This window comes from Homo sapiens, chromosome 14, assembly GCF_000001405.40.
Source record: "Homo sapiens chromosome 14, GRCh38.p14 Primary Assembly".
NCBI classification, from domain to species: Eukaryota; Metazoa; Chordata; class Mammalia; order Primates; family Hominidae; genus Homo; species Homo sapiens.
Window position 1 is genome coordinate 83,827,173 of NC_000014.9, and position 20,434 is coordinate 83,847,606.

The 20,434-nt window shown below is 36.1% G+C and overlaps 1 annotated feature.

Annotated features, from left to right (window-relative positions):
• Positions 229-730: an enhancer, noted in NCBI's record as "NANOG hESC enhancer chr14:84293745-84294246 (GRCh37/hg19 assembly coordinates)". NCBI's record gives its function as "activates a minimal SCP1, AML or CMV promoter by ChIP-STARR-seq in primed H9 embryonic stem cells {active_cell/tissue: H9 hESC(primed)}" and the evidence as "EXISTENCE:reporter gene assay evidence [ECO:0000049][PMID:30033119]".

The following is a 20,434-nucleotide window of genomic DNA, read 5'->3' on the forward strand; positions in this document are numbered from 1 at the left end:
TTCCTGTATTCCTCCACCCTGTAGGTGAATCATTCTTCTCCAGCTTTTTAAAGAAAACTATTCTATAAATATGTAACAAACTTTATGTTGAAGTCCCCCAAAGTTTAGAGCTTGCGCAGAGAAGCAGAACCAAGCTGTGCTTCAATCAGCACTGCAGATACATGGGAAGGGTGAAAAAGATTTCTCTGATAAAACACACAACTGCTCAAACCTTCCATCCACTTGACCTTTATGTGAAGGCTGTCAAAATCAACTTGGCAGCCCTTTTGCTCGAATCACTCCACGTGAGGAGGTCATTGTGAGAGAATTTCCTAATAAGAATTCTTGGAGAGCCAAGAGATGTTTACTCTTCAGGGCAAGTGGGAGGATATCCTTGGGGGTTCAAACTTGCACTTCCCTGCAGAGTCTAGATGCATTTAACTGGAGGCCTTCAGGTAGCCTGAATACCATAGAGACAGAACGATTGACAAAGAAGCAAAGGAGGATGTACTTGCCATTCTCAAGGAAATCTACTTACCCAGCTAGCACCAAGGGGATTTCTTTGCATTTTTGAATGTGTTCCAAGACTTCCAAATGGCATTTCCTGAATCTAAAATGCCAGGTGCCTTATAAACCATTTTGTTTGTCGGAGTTTAACAGCCTCCCTCTGTGTGAAGGTAAGGTAAAGGGAATGAGTTCGTCTGAACTTGATAGCTCATTTAGAGTTGGCTGTCTTTTCTATGGCCTTGCCCTTTCTGAAACACCTGCCCTGACAGCTCCACGGCCCCCCACATGCAGAAGCAATGCCAGGGATTTATAATGCACTCTCTTTCGGTTGTAGCTCCAGGGACTGGAAGCCAAGCAATGAAGAAATAGAATAAAGGCAATTTTCTAGGATCCCACATTTGGTTGTTTGTTCTCAAGTTGAAACAGAAGTTATAGAAAATGGCTCTTTCCCTACATTACAGTAGCCCTAATTCCTGCCTTGGACGAGCTATGGATTACTTAATTTTATGTTACAAAACCCACAGCTCTGTTAAATACCATACCTAAGCAGAACTAAAAGTTTTCTTATTGCCTTTAATTAAAATTCAGATTTATAAATTACTGATCAGGAATGGTATTTACAAAGTTTAATAAGAGATTTTCATCTTCAAATAGTAGCCTCCTATTAAGGTGATTCATTGCCTAACATTTAAAGGATTGCAGTATTATTTGCCTTATCACCAGACTGTATCATTCTTCATCAGCCCCAAAATAACAGCTAAGAGAAATAATACTTTAAAAAAGTATTTTCATAATGGTTTCATGTGGAAACAAGTAGAATGCTTCAGCTCTGCTACAAGCTATTCAACATCTAGGCCACAGAAGGAACTGCCAGAGATTTTTCAGCATGGAAGGCTTTTTTCCCACTTGTAATGGTACAAATATTGTCAGGTCCAGTATCTTACATGCATTCCAGCATGTCACTTGATTTTTCATTTCGATGACTGTATGGTTCTCATAGCATTTGTTTCCCAATACTGCATTCAGAGTATTTGAGGTTAGGGGTTTGAATTTCACTGTCTTCTTCTTTCAGAAGTCGTTTTATTAGGGACTTTACTTCTATTACCACTTCTAAACACTTGTCTGTACTTATTTTATCTACTCATTCGGCTATACTCCTCTTACTGGAGTGGGGAAGGAGAAAACCCAAATGTGATACTTAATTAGTTCTGCATTCCTTCCAGTGTTATTCCTAACTTTAAATACCATAAAAAGTAATTTCTTGTCAGAATGCATTTTTATTGAATTTCCTCCTGTGCTTAACTTCGGTGGCATTGCCTGGTTTCAGAGTCTTGTTTCAATGTCTACTCGGTGGCACAAATTATTTGTATTGCATTTCAGGAAACTATCAGTGGAGCTCTCTTGTTTCCTTTGATTAGAGAATCAAATCTTTGGTCCAGATCTTAAGTGCTAGGGCTGTACAAATAGATGTGTGCCGTCCTGGTAATTGAAAAACACATTTCTTGTAGCAGAAGTAGTCCTCATTTTATTCCTTTACTTCAGTTTTAAAGAATTGCAGAAAATTGTGTTTCTGTGTTTCTGGAAGGTAACCTTTCTAGGGCTTTGACGATATATTCTTTTGAAATAAAGACCTCTATAGACCGTTCATAAACATCTGATGTGCCATAATTACTACCAGAGAAGGGAAAACAAGATTTTGTTTATGTAGTAGATAAAATAAATATTTAGGGCTTCTAAGGCTGATATTAAGTTGTTTACAATTCATCTGTCAGAACATTCACATCTTATGTCAATAGATCAATTCTGCTATTAAATAACCCATTAAATTATATTTAAGTTCCTGCATTTTCTAAATATCTCAAAATCATCTTCTGAAACCAGACTACCACTAACTAATTGAGGCCTCATAGTAGGAGGCTGACTTAGGTCTGATTTGCACCAATCAAACCTTTCCTGTTTTTAAGGCACACTTAGTCGTGAATACAAAAAGCAAAGCCACTGTATGTTGTCAAAGATCATTAACAAATTCTCCCATCCTGGTTACTTAAGAATGAATGTATAGTATATTAAACAGGGTGTTTAGATTATCTGTTATTTACAGTTAATTTAATTAATGAAATATTTCGATAAACTTTTATGATTTAAGAGTCTGAGAAAGTTTAAATACTCTGATGATGTCAGTGGAAAGTACAATTATGAAAGCAAGTAAAAGCAGGAATACATACCTAATTTAATCAAATAAATGTGCCAGGTATATGCTACAAACTAGGAGAACTCTGAAGGAAATAAAAGTCAGGGTCTTGCTTACCCACATGGTGGCTGGCATATTTTAAACTAGTGGATGTAAATGCACCAAAAAATGATTGCATAGCTTGGATTAATAACACCCAAAATAAGGAAAGACATTTGATATCCCAACAGATGAAAACTCTTGTAGATAAAACAGCGGCCCCACTGACATTTTTCCAGAATGAGGTTTAATTCTTAGGTAATCAGAGTATTTTGCAGATCTATAATCATCAGCTTGTTATGCATATTAAGATTATTGTTCTAGATTCAGTTTTAAAGATGGTGGAATAATATTATGAAACTAAAATAGTCCATTGTGGATTCTCTGATGTTTAATGGGAAAAATATTTCACAGTAATGACTTTTCTACATCTATTGCATCCATGGGCTCTGTCTTCAGTAAGGACTCTTTCATTTTGGAAAAGCTGCTTCTTTTGATTGAGGGCTTACCCATATTCACTGCATTCGCAGAATTTATCTCCCATGTGAATCCTCTGATGTTGCAAAGGATGAGTACTCAGTGAGGGATTTCCCACATTCATTATATTCATGGAACTTTGCCTACATAGATGCTCTGATGTTTAGTTTGACATGAAATATGTTTAATGTACTTTTCCATGTGTCTCACATATGTGAGATTTCTTGCAGCAACTGTCTGCTTTGTAATAGGAATTGATCTGACTCTGAAATCGATCTCATATTTCCATGGAGTTTTTCCTTCAGGAGAATTGCAATTTGCTTCAACTTTAAGAGCAACAAACATATCTCCAGCATTCTTCTTACCTGAAAAACTGCTTTATGAATATTTTCCTAATGCTCATTTCCCAGAAATGCCCTACTTTGATGGCAGTCTCTCAGTTTCAGATAATCTCTCACTATGGAATATAATGGTTGCATGTAAATTTCAACTGAGATCTGAGGATGCAGTAGATGTGGATACCAAAATTAGGTGCCGAAACAGAATACAGATACTCAAAGCAAACAATTTTTAAATGGCTCAACATTTGTTAATGGCTCCCAAAAGCAAAAGAAATATACAAAAGTGCCTCAGATATAATTTTGTCAGCAGAATTTCTTTGAAGAAAACTATTCTGTGAACCTCCAAGGAGAGTAGGGAGAGTAGGGAGTATCTACTTTACCAACGTAAGCTTATTGAAGGAGACTTTCAATCTATTAGGAAAAATTAATATCTGACTCCTGCACCTGAGAACACATAGGTCACTTTAATTATTGCAAGGGACTAGGCATTCTAATTGAATGGGACTAGTCTAATTGCATGGGACTGAGCATTCTTATTGAGACTTTAATTGCGATTTAAAATCCACAAAGGCTTTCCTGGAGAATGAGCTCAATTGTGAGCCTCTGGTGTTTTCATCCAAAAATGTGAAAAGAGTAATCTTACTCAGAGAAAATTCCAAAGAGATAGTAGGGAACAACATAACATTTCATATTGATCACCCTTTTTGCCTTTTTCGTGACCAACACACAGGTTCTATGAATGTTAAGTATGCTTCTTTTTATCATTTACAAAAATTCTTTGATCTGAATTCATGATAAATCCATTATCAGGAAAATGTACAGTCTTTGAGCAGGCTCGAATTGACCCTTCTTCTTCAGTAAATTTCACAGACTTTAATTTGATATAGATTTTAATGATATTAATGATACTGAGTTTCAGAAATTGCCTGCATGACTCTTTGTGTGTGTGTGTGTGCCGGGTCTTTAGTTTTTGTTTTAATAAGGAAAAGAAATTCCCAAGGCAACCAAGAGAAATACATCAGCCCAAAATGCTTTCTTGCTCTTTTATATTTTAAAATGAAAATTAAGAGTTATGGTTATGGTTTCTAGACTCTGTCTGAAAGTGGAAATCTTTATTGATCTTGTGCAGACTGTTTCCCTTGAACTTAGTGTGTATTTAGTTCTTTGCTTTTGGGGGACAATGTGCAGAATGGTTGCCCACTATCTGACTATCTACATCTAGGGTCCATAGGCCAAGATGGCAAAATCCACCTACGTGTTATTTCATTGTAGACATAAAGAAAATTTTTTAAATCTCATATATCATAGAAACAAAGGAAATAAGCCATACAATTTTCTAACCAAATAGAAACTTTAACAAGACACGTTTTTCTCTGTTAACTAGAACTATGAAAATTCTCTTCCCAGAAAAGACCAACAAAACATTGTAGTGCATTATTTAAAAAGAATGAGATAGTCACAGTATGTTAATCCTTCCATTTCCACTGAGAAAGGAATTTATGAAGATATGTTGCTACCAGAGAATTTTCAGATCTAGTGACCATTTTCTCCTTCTATTTTCTGCGTAGGAAAGCTGACTTCCTGAGAAGATCTCCATCTTCAGGTATGGTAGTTAAAACTTGTTCTCAGGGCTGGGAGCCATGGCTCACGCTCCCAGCACATTAGGAGACCCAGGCAGGAGGACCTCTTGAGCCCAGGAGTTTGAGATTAACCTGGGCAATGTAGTGAGATCCTGTCTCTACAAAAATTTTTTTAAATAGCCAGCTTTGGTGGCAAATGCCTTTAGTCCCAGCTACTTGGGAAGCTGAGTTGGGAGGATCTCTTGAGCCCAGGATGTTGAGGCTGAAGTGAGGCATAATTGTGCAACTGCACTCCAGCCTGGGTGACAGGCCGAGAACCTGTCTCAAAGTCGTCCTTGTTCTTTGAATGTTTTAACTTTACTCAATTCTGGATAGCCCTGCCCTGTGTGGTCAAAACCTATGGTATAAAATGATTTTGAAGAAATTTTCCGAATTTAAGAACTAAGGGTATGATATAGTATCCCAAATCTCAGTGTCTGTTTGTTGAAATGGAATGACATTTGTGAGAACTCATCTCAGTGATACATAGCATGAATATTGGGTGGACTCATTGAAAGCAAAACCACTAAAGTCAGTTCACATTTTCAAAGACTAAACAACTACTTCCAAAGCTTGAAAAGTTACCCAAGTATATTAAAATAGTGCTCTTAGACAAATCTGTATTTAAGAGGGATTTCTGGCTCTCTGGGTCTCAGTCCTACAGCTTGGTCAAGCCGTCTATTTTGCTCAGGCTTGAGTCTAAGGAGATACAGAGATGTTCAAAGGCAGATTCTGAAAATAAGGATTTTCTTTGAACATGAAAAGATGATCTTCATCAGGAAGCTCATAACCTTAACTTAAATGAGATATCTTTGTTTAAATCTATCTATATTGTTAAGAAGTTCCATAAACTCACTATATTAGCTAAGATTCTCTAGAAAAATAGCACTATATATATATACACACACACAGACATATACACATAGGTACATATACACACATTTCATTTTATTGTGCTTTGCCTTGCAGATATGACATGATTTATTATTGCATTATTTATTTTGCCTTGCAGATATTGCATTATCTGCAAATTAAAAGTGTGTGGAAACCCTGTGTCAAAGATGTGTCTCAGCACCATTTTTCCAACAGCACATGCTTCCTTTGAGTCTCTGTGTCAGTATTTTTTAAGCAATAAAGCTTTTTATTTTTTATTTTTTCTCTTTTTTGAGACAGAGTCTTGCTCTGTTGCCCAGGCTAGAGTGCAGTGGCACTATCTCTGCTCACTGCAACTTCCACCTCCCCGGTTCAAGCACGTCTCCTGCCTCAGCCTCCTGAGTAGCTGGGATTAGAGGCTCCCACCACCACACCTGGCTAATTTTTGTAATTTCAGTAGAGACGGGGTTTCACCATCTTGGACAGGCTGGTCTCAAACTCCTGACCTCGTGATCCACTGCCTCAGCCTCCCCAAATGCTGGGATTACAGGTGGGAGCCACCGCGCCTGGCCACAATGAAATGTTCTTGAATTAATATTTCAACATTGCATTTTTAGACATAATGCTATCACACACTTAATAGACGACAGTGTCATATAACATAACCTTTATATGCTATGGGAAACAAAAAAGTTGGCATGACAACATGCTTCATTGGGATATTTACTTTATTATGATAGTCTGAAACTAAACATGCAGTATCTCCAAGGTAAATATATATCTATATCTATAGATATAGAGGTCTCTCTCTATATATATACACGTCTTTACATTAAAAGCATATATATAGGCAGCTACATGCCTATATATACATATATAGAACAAATCTATCTATATATCTATAACAATTGTTATAAGAAATTAGCTCACATTATTATGGAGGTTGGCCAGTTCAAATCTGCAACGGGGTTGTCAGGCTACAGCAGAACAAGGAAAGCCAATGTTCCAGTTCCAGTTTGAAGGCTGGCAGGCTGTAGAATTCTCTCTTGCTCAGCAAGACTGGACTTTTTGTGCTATGCAGGGCTTCAATGATTGGATGAGATCCACTCACATTTTTGGAGAGTGATGTTTCACCAAATGTTCACAGATGTAATTGTTAATCTCATCCAAAAGCATCTCCCCCCAAAAAATGTCATGCACAAGATCTGAGGTTGCTGTTGTTAATTTTATTTTTAATGATGTGTTAGTACATACAGGATGCTATTTTAAAAATACCACAAAATGGGTAGCTTATAAACAAAAAATATATATATATGTGTCTCACTGTACTAGAGGCTGGAAAGGCCAAGATCGAGGATCCGCAGATTCAATGTCTGGTAAGGCCCCTCTTCCTTCTTCATGGATAGCTGGCTTTTTGCTGTGTCTCGCATGGCAGAAAGGGAAAATGTGCTCTTTTGGGTTTATTTTACAAGGACACTCATCCCATTCAGGAGGGTTCTCCCCTCATGAGCAAATTCTCTCCCAAATTTCCCATTTCCTGACACCATTGCCTTGTGGGTTAGGATTTCATCATAAGAATTTTGAGAGGACACAAACTTTCAGATCATAACATCAGGAGAAGCTTGAACTGAACTTGAACTGAGTTCACTAGCTATAATTAATATAAAAGTAGAAAAATATAAAGGATAATTTTCATATGTTCGACACTGACTTGTTTACAAATTAGTGCTTCAATTTTCAAATAATCCCAAATGCTTCTTTCATCTTTCATCCACATTCTGTCTTTAAGCTAAGGTACTGTTTTCTTGCTGATAGCCCCTACCTATAAGTAATAATAGTAATAATACTCTGAGAGATAAAATTATACTACTGATGAAATTTTTTACATTATCCATAGATTTCAATTACACAATTCTGAGTTCCACATTATCATAGACAGTCAGTGGTTTATATAATCTATAGGGAGTGCAGAAAATGTTGAATTCTAGAAATTACATGAAAATCAAAGAACCTAATGCTACCTGGTGATTCATGCTACCTAGTCATTCAAATATGTTACATAACAAATCTAATTTTTATAAGGCTTAGATGATTGGCAAAGAAAAAAAAGAGGCTCTTGAACATTCCATTTCCAGCAATATTTGTTCATTTGCCGTATAAAATGTTTTTACGAACCATATTAGTATCATAATAGGATATTAGATAGCCTAAAGGAGACAATTTTGATTTACACCTGAGTACTCACTTTGACTAATGGGTCTTCTTGAAACATTTGAGTAAATCTTGAAAGAGATACTAATGCAGAAAGAGGCCATAAACAATTTTTTTCCTACATTTTGGAAGTTTCTCTGTGCTGAATAAATCTTAAAAGTGATAGAATGTGTAGCTTGCTCCTCCTTAAAAGATAGAATTTTCAAATTGTGTCCATTTTATTATTTTATCATTATTTTTCAAGTTATAGAAAATATATTTCAATAGAACAGAGATATTTATTTCATTAATACACTAAAATAAAACAACAATAACAATAATGACGACTGATCTGGTATACCCTGATAATTAAAATAGATAAAGCCTAAAAGTAAATTATAAATGATTCTTTTTAAATATGTATTTTTATGCTGGTTTGTAGGTAATATCAGCAAGTTGGACAAGATTTGGAGGAGGAGGAGTGTGATTCATTAATATCATGAAATATACAAAGTTCTCAGTGAATATTGAGAAGTTTAGGTACTAAGAGACATTTAAAAATCTTTCAAAATTTATTGTCAAAATATTAACTAAATAAATGAAGGCACAAATCCCAACCACAATTCATGATTTTAGTAAACCCTTTCTTAGTAACTGATAAGGCAAGTTGACTAAAAAGGCCAAAATTAGTAAGGATATAAGATATTGACCAACTATCAAACACCTTGACCTATTAAACATTTAAAGATATCCAACAACTACAGAATACACATTCTATCCAAGTAGACATGGAGTATTTCCTATATGTGACTATACGTGGGACTGCAAAATAAGTCTGAAAATCAATTTAGATATCGACGACAACATGATATTTAGAAGACACACAGATAATTAGATATTCAACTGCTAAATAACCGATCACCCAAAGACATCACAAGGGAAATTTTCATTTGAAGGATAATGTATATATAAAACACGCAAGTATATAGGTGCAGGTCAAACAGTGCTTAAGGCGACAATTATCACCTAAAATGCCTCAGAAAAAAAAACAAAAAGCATTAAAGCCAACCATTTAAATTTCTACACTAAAAAGCTAAAGAACTTAAAGCCCAAATAACTAAAAGAAAATAAATAATCATATAAAAGCAGAATTTAATAAAATCAATAATAAAAAATAGAAAAAATTAGCAAAACCCAAAGTTCATTCTTTGAAAAGTTTTTAAAAATTAGTAAATCTCAGCAGACTGAATGAACAGGGTAAAACAGGAAGGAAGGAAGTGAAGTTGAAAGAAGGGAGGGAAGGAACATGTTATTAATATCAGGAGAAAGAAGGGGATATCATTATAGTAACTGCAGAAATTTTAAGGAAGAAAAATAAGTGAATATTATGAACAACTTCAAAAATACTAATAAAATTGACATTAAAAAAAGTTACCAAAATTAGCTCAAGAGAAAAAAGACAATCTAAATAGCCCCTATGTATTAAAGAGATATTTTGTCTCAATAGCCATCTGATGAAAAATTTCAGGTCCAGATGCTTTTATTTGTAAATTCTATTAAACATTAAAAAATTAAATAATAATTATCTTAAAAAAAAAGTAGAAAACATTTTACAATTTATTTGCTGACCTAACTCTAACACCAAAACCTGATAGAGACATTGCAAGTTAACTACAAGCTAATAAACATGGATGTGAAAAGCTTTGAAAAAATATTAGACTACAATAAATTTCTGCTCTTTTTGGAATAACATGAAAAACATTGTCATCTGCTTTGATGATAAGAAAGCCTATCAAGGTCATGCTCTGTATCAGATTAACTGTGAATCTCAACAACTAATTAGCAGCCTTCAACATCATAATGGATCAGCATGGAATTAATCTGTACTGACTCAGCCCTTTAACCCAATGGTACCCCCTTGATTGTATTGCTTTTATTTCTTTGTTTACCCAACATGTCAACCTTCTTTATTGAAATTGCATAATAAAAATCTGCTGGAATTTCCCAACTCTCAAGATCCCAGAGAGATAGAAAATACTATTAATTTTAACCAGAAATGATTCTGATAAGTAACGGAGCTCTTATTTTCCAGTTGAAATTATAATCATCCTTTGTGTTTCTCTCACTAAACTGTAGATCCACTTCCATGGGTTCGAATCAATATTAAGTTTGACTAAGGAGTGAATGTCAATCATATTTAAATAAACTTCTATAAGTGATTGTTAAAAAGGCACTCAACTCTCTAGATCCCTTGGGACTCACATTTCTTATAGGAGAGAACAAAAATGTTGAGAATGATATATTTTATTTTACTGTGTATTATTTTTGTTTGGGTTAAAAATCAGAGAGGTTTTAAGAAAAATATTTAGAAAATTATTTTCAATTTTGAAAAGAGCTTATAATCACTATTTGCGGATTTAGAAACACTCAGAAGATTTGAAGAGTTATGGACACCTCCTTTATATAATGCACATTTGAACACAGATGAAACAAAATGCAAACAATTTTAGGCCTCCTGAAGTTCAACCATGGAAGAGACCAGAACCTCAAATTAAGATGTACTAATCAAGGACTTTCTGATTTAAGTTTCCACATTTTTGAAACATTAATCTATATAGGACTTTTAAGAGGAATAAACAGTCAACAGATTACATTATATAAAAGATTATATTTTCAAGAACTACTCCGACCCAGTAACTTAGAGCCAAATACTCAGTTTAATTAGGCAATAGATAGAATAATTAGCCTGGAAAATAACATTTTGATAGTAGGCTTACCCCATCTACAAGCTCACTGTTTGACCTTGAACAAGGTGTTCAACCTCTGCAAGACTGTTTCTGCATAGTTAGTTCAGAAAATAACTCCTGAAAATGTGACTGGCACATTGACTGATTCCATAAACATTTGCCAAACTCACGTAAAGCAGATCACAGGGCTTTAGTCGCAAGCATCAACAAATCTCCGGAAGAGCTGCCTGTAAGTTCACAACTCCTCTCTCAGAGTAGTCCCTCATGAAACTTCTCTGGGAGGTGCTGATGCATTGCATCACTGAAACAGCAAGAAGTGCAACAGTGTAAACAAACAAAGCTAGGCCCTTGAAATTTAAGGAACCCAGTGGATTTCTTTAACCAATTTCAAATCCTACTCACACCCAAAACACAAATTCTTTGTTCACATAATGAAAACATTTGGGAACAGAATATAAGGATCAACAGTGTAAAATGGAGCTGGGAAAATGAGTGCCCGGGATTGTGGTGCCCACCCCCATCAGACAATTAAGGATTTGAAGCGAAAACATGGCCGAGGTTCCCAGAATATCATTTTGATAGCTCTGCCGTTGCCAGTTGCTTCTTTTTCACGTGGTAGTAGTCAAAATTCAGGAGGCATGCCTGCTGAAAACCACATCAAACATGCTGGACTCAGTCAGTATTACATCCTAGTTCCTTCCATTCTTTATCCCATGAACCACATTGCTCATCCCTTCGCAGTTATTTTACATTTTCTAGGCAGGAAAGCAAAAGTGACAGATGATTTTAAAAGTGCAGTGATCTGCCTTCCTTTTATTTATATAAAGTGATTTATGCCAGATCAATTCTTTGCTACTGCCTGTTACCATATTTCCATTTTTCTTATGATTCTGCTATATTCATGCTAACACATGCTGACAAATTATAAGTCCTTAACCCCCACTCCCATCTAAACATATATACACAAGTACACACTTCATTCTTCTTCTCCAGTCTGATTTCCATTAGAAGGCAACAGGCACTATACTAAACATTCAACAAACATTAACCATTTTGTTTTCCTTAGGCATTATCCACTTTTTTTTTTTTTTGAGACTAAGTATCACACTGTCACCCAGGCTAGAATGCAATGGCGCGATCTCAGCTCACTGCAACCTCCGCCTCCCAGGTTCATGGGATTCTCCTGCCTCAGCCTCCCGAGTAGCTGGGATTACAGGTGCACACCACCACACTTGGCTAATTTTTTGTATTTTTAGTAGAGACGGGGTTTCACCATGTTGGCCAGACTGGTCTTGAACTCCTGACCTCGTGATCCACCCGCCTTGGCTTCTCAAAGTGCTGGGATTACAGGCGTGAGCCACTGCACCCAGCCGGCATTATTCACATTTTCCTGATGAAGAAACCAAGTCTTAGTTTCTTTCCCAATACCACAGCCTTTAAAGTGGCAGAGCCACATTTTTTTTCAGATATCAAAGCCCAGAACTTTTAATCATTAAGTTGTACACTTACCTACATATATAAACTACATATATAAACTACAGGTGTTTCCCTAACCTGAAATATTGTACAATTTGGGAGTGCATGGGCTTATAAAGAAAAAACAAGAGCTTCAACAAAAGCAGCCTTAAATTTACTGGAGGAAACAAGGTTATCTATCTGTTTTTTCAAAACTTTGGTGCAAGTCTGAGCTGGGTGATAGCAAAGTAAGAGAGAAAGGCCTGAGGAAGGATAGAGCTAAATATTTAAATATAATCAAGGACCAGGAGAGTCCAAATTATTTTGTGCAGCCAGTCATACCTCACCTTCCCCAATGTTCTAAGGAGATTAAATGCAAAGTTCAATAAAAAAATGGGAAAGCGAGAGCTGCTTAGGTACTAGCTGTAATGCTTAACACTGTGGCTGGGATTCAGGCCTAAGTAGGGTCTTATTCTTAGCTTGTCTCTCAGCCCCAGTCAAGTTACTGTTAAGTCTTAGAGCCAGTGGAGTGACCTAAGGTTAGTGCTTAAGTCTACTCACCTTCATAATCACACAATATTACCAAAGACAAGACATGAGAAGATCCAAAGACCCTGAATTTCTCTGGCCTATTGGAGTCTTAAATGCAGGAAGAAGTGAGAAAAAGCGGAACGTACTTCCCCAATAATAACTGTTCTATTTAATATGCCAAGCTCTGGCCAATCACAATATCAAGACTTTGGCCATGTGAAGAGGTATCTGGCAGAGGCGGTATAAAATCTTTTAAAAGGGGAGAGAAGGCTGCAAATAACCCCCTTCATACACACACATGTGCGTGCACACACACGCACATTCTACCGTTCATTCATTGATTGTACAAATGTTTAGATGGCAAGAACTGTTTTCTGTCCTAGAGATATTTTAATAAACGACAAGTGGATGTGCAATCATCAACATTATAGCTTAGTGCAGATATAATATTGCACAAAGGACAAAGACAACAGAAATTATTACGTAAAAAGTAATTTCAGAGAGTGATAATTGCTATTAAGATGAAAATGAATCAGTGACATTCAAATGAATTTCACCCAGTGAGGGAAAAAACACAGAATTTGGAGTCAAAAAGCCTGGGTTCTTCAGGAACACGCTATCACTCAATGTGCTGTTGTATAGTTAATCTTCCAGGTATCATTGTATTGTCATCTGTAAAATGGAAAGATCAGCGTTATTTAAATGCATAATACTTTCAGGAAACCAATATAAATCATAGCTAATGTTGGCTAAAATTTTGTTTTGTCAGGCAGTGCACTAAATATATTACTTATACTAATTTTTATTCTTAAAACAACCGCAGATGGTAGATGCCACATCTATTATGGCTGCCTTACAAATAATAAAATCCAGGCAGGTAAAAGTTAGTGATATAGTTTGGATATTTGTTTCCACCCAAATCTCATGTTGAATTGTAATTCCTAGTGCTGGAATTAGGGCCTGGTGGAAGGTGTTTTTATCACGAGGGTGGATCTCCCATGGTTTGGTGCTATCTTTGTGATTGCGAGTTCTTGCAAAATCTGGTCATTTAAAAGCATGTGTCACCTGCCTCTACCCCTACTCGCTCTCTTGCATTTTCGCTATGTGATGCTACTCCTCTTGTCATGAGTAAAAGCTTACTGAGCCCCCCCCCCAAAAGCAGGTACTGGCACCATGCTTCCTGTAGAGCAGAACCGTGAGCCAATTAAACCTTTTTTCTTTATAAACTTCCCAGGATTGGATACTTCTTTATAGCAATGCAAGAACAGCCTAACACAATTAATGTACTCAAGATCATGCATCTAGAAGGAGAAGTATAAAAAAAATTGAACCAAGGTAATCTGCTAAGTTGAAGCATAACACTATACCATAGTTGCTTATAAAAAGAATCTATCCATACACAGATGCTTATTGAAATTCATGTATATGATTAATTTTTTCTGGCAATCATTTTTATTCTGAGCTGAGGAAACCCAGGTGGAGATTCATGTGGTCTCAGGGTAGAGTTATGCCTCCTTTTTTTCTCTTCGCTGAGATTCTCTTACCCAGGAGAATTGAGAATGAGTCCTTAAATATGTAAATGTATTTTCTTTAGGGCACAAATCCTACTGAAAGAGGGAGGATGGTAAGTAAAATGAATAAATTTCATTTTGTTGTCATTGTTGTTTATCTTTTGTCCTTAAATTTTCCTCCAGTCAAAATATGCTTTTAATGACATGGAATTTGAAAAATTATTGTGTGCTCTAGAGAAGTGATTTGCAGACATGAAGGGATATTAGGAGACAGAAAAAAAAAAGGCACTGCCTCATAAGGTTGGCCTAACGTTTGCCCAATTCCCAGGCATACAAAGAGTGGGGTGAGAATATGAAAGTCAGGTAAGGCATTCACTGCTTCTCAGAGATTCAGTCTTGCTGCTGGGACCAAGCAGGAGTAAGAAATCAATAGTTCTTTCAAAAGTAGAGAATATTATGGGGTTAAATACACAAAGAGTGCAAAGCATTCTAGAATTTAGAGGACAGAGATAACTGAGTTGAGGTTTCCAGTTTTCACGTGCCTCTTCTTTTAGCCCTCTCAGTGACCCATTTAGGTTAACATTCTGAATCTGGCATGGTGGATATAGAGCAGGGGGAATGATAGCCAAGGAACTCCACAAGGTCATAGTGTTAGAAATAATTTTCAAGATGATCTAACCAAACTTATACTGACTTCAAGAATATAGATGGGAGCAGCATGAATGAAAGAGGCATGAATGTGAGATGCAAGAATGAGAAAATGTGAGGGGGAAGAAATAACAATATAGTTACATGGAGAAAAGCTGTTTGATGAGAGTGGCACAATGTGAAGCTGAATGGATTATACAAGTCTTTAAATACCAGACAAGGTAAGTTGAACCCTAGTCTCATTATCCAGGACCATTGCCTTGGGCAAAATAATTATCTTCCTAAGAGGTGAGCTCAGCATCTGGGTACAGTAAGACAGTGTTGCTTTGCCTTGCCTTAGATGTTCCCAGCCCTGGACTAAGACAAGTCAAAAGGCTTACAGCCTAGTTTTTATAGGCAGTGCCATCATTAAGAGACAAAGCATCACAGAGATTTGAAAGGAACAAATTAAATATGCCTGTCACTCAGCCCGGCTGTGCGTGGTGGCTAATGCAGCCGGCTCTGCTCTATTTGAGCCAGGTCTCTTGGGAACAATTTAAAAAGTGTGACTTAAATGGAGGCACTGTAAATGAGTCTGTACAGTGCAGCACTGAATATGCCATGTGGGAATCAGGCTGTTTGTGTCAGAGAATAGATGACAACCTGTGGGTTGGAGGGAGGGTTGCATTTTAAGAGGACAGCATTTAGTCTTCAAAACTTTTAACATGATTCTCAACATTACTTCAGAGGTAAAACCATCCACTGCTATCAAGATTGAAGATATTTGTATAATAAATACATGTTCTAATTTCTGACATTTAGCATGGATTTCATTTAGAAATAACAAAGAAAACTTCCAAAGCCATGTCAGTAATAAATGGAAAGGTAAATCTTCTAGATCTAGGTTCTCAAGTAATCTTTATATATGGTGTATGCACACAGTAATGAACTTTCAAAAAGTGAACTCCCCAGAATATTTATACATGTAAATGAGCTCTCTTTACATCTTAAACAGCAATTATTGTTTTTTTTTAAAAAACAATTTTTTGTTTTTTAATTTAAAAAAAAAATTTTTTAAAAAAAGAATTCATGATTTGGAATCAGACAGGCCTGAATTCCAAAACTAGGGCTGTCATTGACTATAACTTTCAACAAGCCATTTCACTTGCTAAACCTCAGTGTATTGTCAAGTAATCATAATAATGCATACCTGCAATGTGACAGAGAGGAATAAATAAAAAAGCATGTCACTGGTGCATAATAGGCACCCATCAAATAATGCAGTATGTCTACTTATTCTAAAAAGTGCTCATTGCTTTAACCATGTTTTGAAATTTTTCTTATCTAAGTCTTTTCCAAAGAAAGTACATTAGTATAATAAATGAGCAAATGACTTATAGAACTTATTTTCTAAAAGTAATATTCTTCCTCGTAATCCATAGTCAGATTACATGTTTGAAACAAAATTTACCATTAGGTTACTCAAGTCAGTTAATCATTTTGGCACATTTTTTCTGAGTCCTTGTTATATACCTGTCAATGTTCTTCAAATAGATTGCTCACCTTATTCCACAGGCTTATTCCTAATGGTTTTTGACCACTTCCTAAATTCAAATCTCAGACACAAATCGCAGACAGGCAGGTTGTGACATCTGTCACCCCATTTATTGCCCGGCTTGACTCAAATGATCCATCCACTAAGTGAATATTACCTTCCTACATCAACACTCAACAGGCATTCCCTCATAAAGATGCATGATCAAAAATGACAATCTTTATGGTTGGTTCAGAAAGAGAAGGTGGTATTTTTCCATCAATACTTTGCTGCAAGTAGTTGACCTCTGCCAGAGTCTCCAAATCCTTAGGAAGGACTATTTATAGGAGAAAATGAACTTCATCTTAAAGGACAGAGATCACACATGATGACAGGTATCCAAATAAGTGTATATCCCTCATGAATTGGAGGAAAATATCAAAAACGGAATCCAGAAATATTTCGGGCAGTGACAGCATCCATTCCTGGGAAAATCATTAGGCTCACATATGCTTTTAGAAATATTTTATCTGATTCACTCATTTTTGAATCCCACACTCTTAATACCTGCCTGGTCTATTGCAGGGACCAATGCAAGGAATCAAAAAATATTTCAGTGAAAGAATTAGGATGAATAACTTTTAAAATTTCAATGTCTTTTCTTTGAAAACATACATTCTCTAGTATTCTTTTGAAACCTGGTATATTCCACAAACATTCCCGCCTAGACTTTGTTTCCAAAGTCTCTGACAGGAATATATTACACTCAAGATTATTATAGTTTAACTTCAACCATCTAAGGTTTAAATGCAGCAAGAGTACTACCATAAATTTTAGTAAAAATTCACTATTGTCACATCTGAGCTAGAATGCTAGGCTTCACTGATAGTTTGGTTGATACAATATGTAGTTCAGGTCTCCAGATTTTTACATTTTAGGAAAACAAAATGTATTCTATTACTTAAAAGTATGTAATTATAAGACTCTCTTTGGCCTTGTTTCTAAGCAGCTAGTTCAAAATAAACTTGACTTTACTCTTAATACTGTAAGAACCACCACTGAGCATGGATGTTGCATGAATGGAAGTGACAGTGAATGGAAAGAACACAGGTGTGGTGTCAGGAATCACAATCCCATCTGTATTCATGGTTACTTTTGGACCTTGTCCAGGACACTTAACATCTATAGACTTCAGTTGCCTTGTATCAAAATATAGATAATAATTTCTACCTTCTTGGATTGTTGCAATGATTCCATGAAACAAAATAAATGACTACATATTATAGGTCTTGGTACATAGTAGGTGCTCAAATCAATGTGCATTCACAAAGGTTACATAAGTGGCTAAGTGGTTGCATAGCCTCCTGCTCTAGTTTAAGGGAGGTGGGCAGAAAGCCTCATATCTCATCAGAATATTGGAGACAATGAGAAAGCATGTCATAACAGCCTCCCAGGAGAGACAGGGAGGCAAGTGAGTGGGAGATAGCCTCCTAGCAGGTCCTCACAGGCCTCTTCTCCTTTCAAGTTCTGGAATTATCACAGAGTTCCTCCAAGACTCAGATAAGTGGCTGTTCAAGCCGTGGCTTGTGTGGTCTGTGTAAATGTGCATGAGTTCGACATTCCCCTACAATTGTACTTGTGTCATTTTTTCCATTAAGAAAAATACATTACTTTGCATTTGCCACCAGAATTTTTTCAAATGTAAACAATATCATGATAAAGCTAAAATCATAGAGTTTTCACAAAAAGTTTCTAACCTATACTTTGACTAAAATGGACTAGGAATGACATTTTAATTGCTTGGGTAACCTAAATTAATCTTCAGTTGCATTTTTAAGGATATAGTAAAATCGTTTTTTAAATAAATCAATAAAAAACCTTGTTATTTCCTTTTAAAATCATGCCTCCTGACCCTCCTCATAATTCACCTTGAAATCCAACAGAAAGAATTTGGAGGATAATAAAACGACCAAATTTCTCAAGAAAGGTTGACTTGGAACCTCAAGACACAAAGAAAAATAGGCCATGTGGGATTCTAGTAGGGATGAGTTTTAGGGTTTAATCTATCTGAATAGTAGCCACTTTCCATCACCTTGCTTGTCCAGCTACTGCTTGGCATGGTAAAGGAAGAGAAAATAACATAGCTATAACGCACATCTCACTGAGTCCTGTTCAACATTTATTTATACCACATAACCTGTGATGAAAAGCAACCTCATGTGGAGAAGAATCTCAAGATCTAGAATCAGCAGACCTCTGATATTTCTTAGCTTTTTAATAGTAGGCAAATTAGTAGGAGCACCTCAGCCTCAATTTCCTTGTCTTCCCAACTATTGTGATAAATTTGGAGAAAATCTTATTGACTAACATTCCTCTTGGGGATAGTACTAAATTTTTTTGGAGTAATCATTTTGTTGAAGAACAAACCCCAAACAAAAACACAAAAAGTAATTTTTTAAAACGTGTGGGGAAGTAAAGATGGCCATTAAATCTGTTAGCATGAGTATGATAAATTTGTTTTGCTTTAAAGAAATAGGGGGATGAAATCAATAAAGAGAAGAACAGGAAAGACAGGTGAATAAAGGGAAAAAAGAGGTCAGATGAAGTTGTAATAACTTCTTTCAGAGATTTTTTTTTTTTTATTGGCTTCAGGAACACTGTCAGCCAATGTGTGGGGCAGAGTGGAAGTTCTGGAAAGTTAATATCCTTGGAAGTAGCTAGGGTCTTGAATATATATCTCAGCCTGCATGCCATACCATTGGCTGGGATGAGACCTCTTTAGGCATATTCTACAATGCCTCCGGGGGTTATTTAGTGGCACTGAGCTCCAATTGTCCACAATGGTAATTTTCCTGATTATGTAACCTTTCTTGGTTTATTCCTTTCTTCCCTACCTCACTTTTTCACTCAGCCACCCATGTTCTCTTGGATGAACTCCTACATAAATTATTGGCACTTAAATTCTGGTATGATAATCTGCTTCTGGAAAAATTGAAGCCAAAAATATGAGTTAATAAGATGAAACTCACAGCTAGCATACACTCCAAATATTCAGGATTCAAATGTCACCATAGGAAAATAAGTTGCTTAGAATTTTCAGAAAATTAGAAGACAGGTTTTGTACTTATACAAGACATGTAATTCGTGACTTCATAGCAAGTTAAAATAGGTATATGAGAGGTCCATTTACATCTGATTTCCATTTGTATAAAAAGTGCTACTATAATAGGTTGGCTGGGTCTAATGCATGTCTCATTGAGTCCTGTCCAACATTTTATGAGGTTTAAAATATGAGGGATAATACAAATACAAGTGGGTTGTAAACTATTAAGTTCAGGGCAATTATGCATCATATCTCAACCTTGTGATTTCAGCCATATGACTGAAATTTATTTTGATCAGATATATATTATAGCTCTGACCTACTTTGTCAAGTTCACTTAGCTTTACCACAAGTCTGAAAGAGAGCATGCATTGTTACGTTTTCATTTCCTTATTCCCAGTCTAAAAGCCATCCTTTTCTTCTTATCTGAGGAGATCTGCAGCTCCAGCAGTTTTTGTATGACATCTCTCTGCTAAAATATGCAGCTTGGGGGTAGGTCACATAAGGGATTCTTTGCACAGTAAAAATAAAATGGTACTGGAATCTTACAGAAGACCACTCCCCTGTCCCAATGGTTAGGAAGAGGCAAAGATTGTATTTGTCATGCGTATTTTTTGTGTTAGGGATTATTTCTCTGAACCAGGTACCAATCGTGGCACAACCAGTAAATGAGGCTCTGAATACTGTTTTTGCTGGTTTGTTTTGTTATC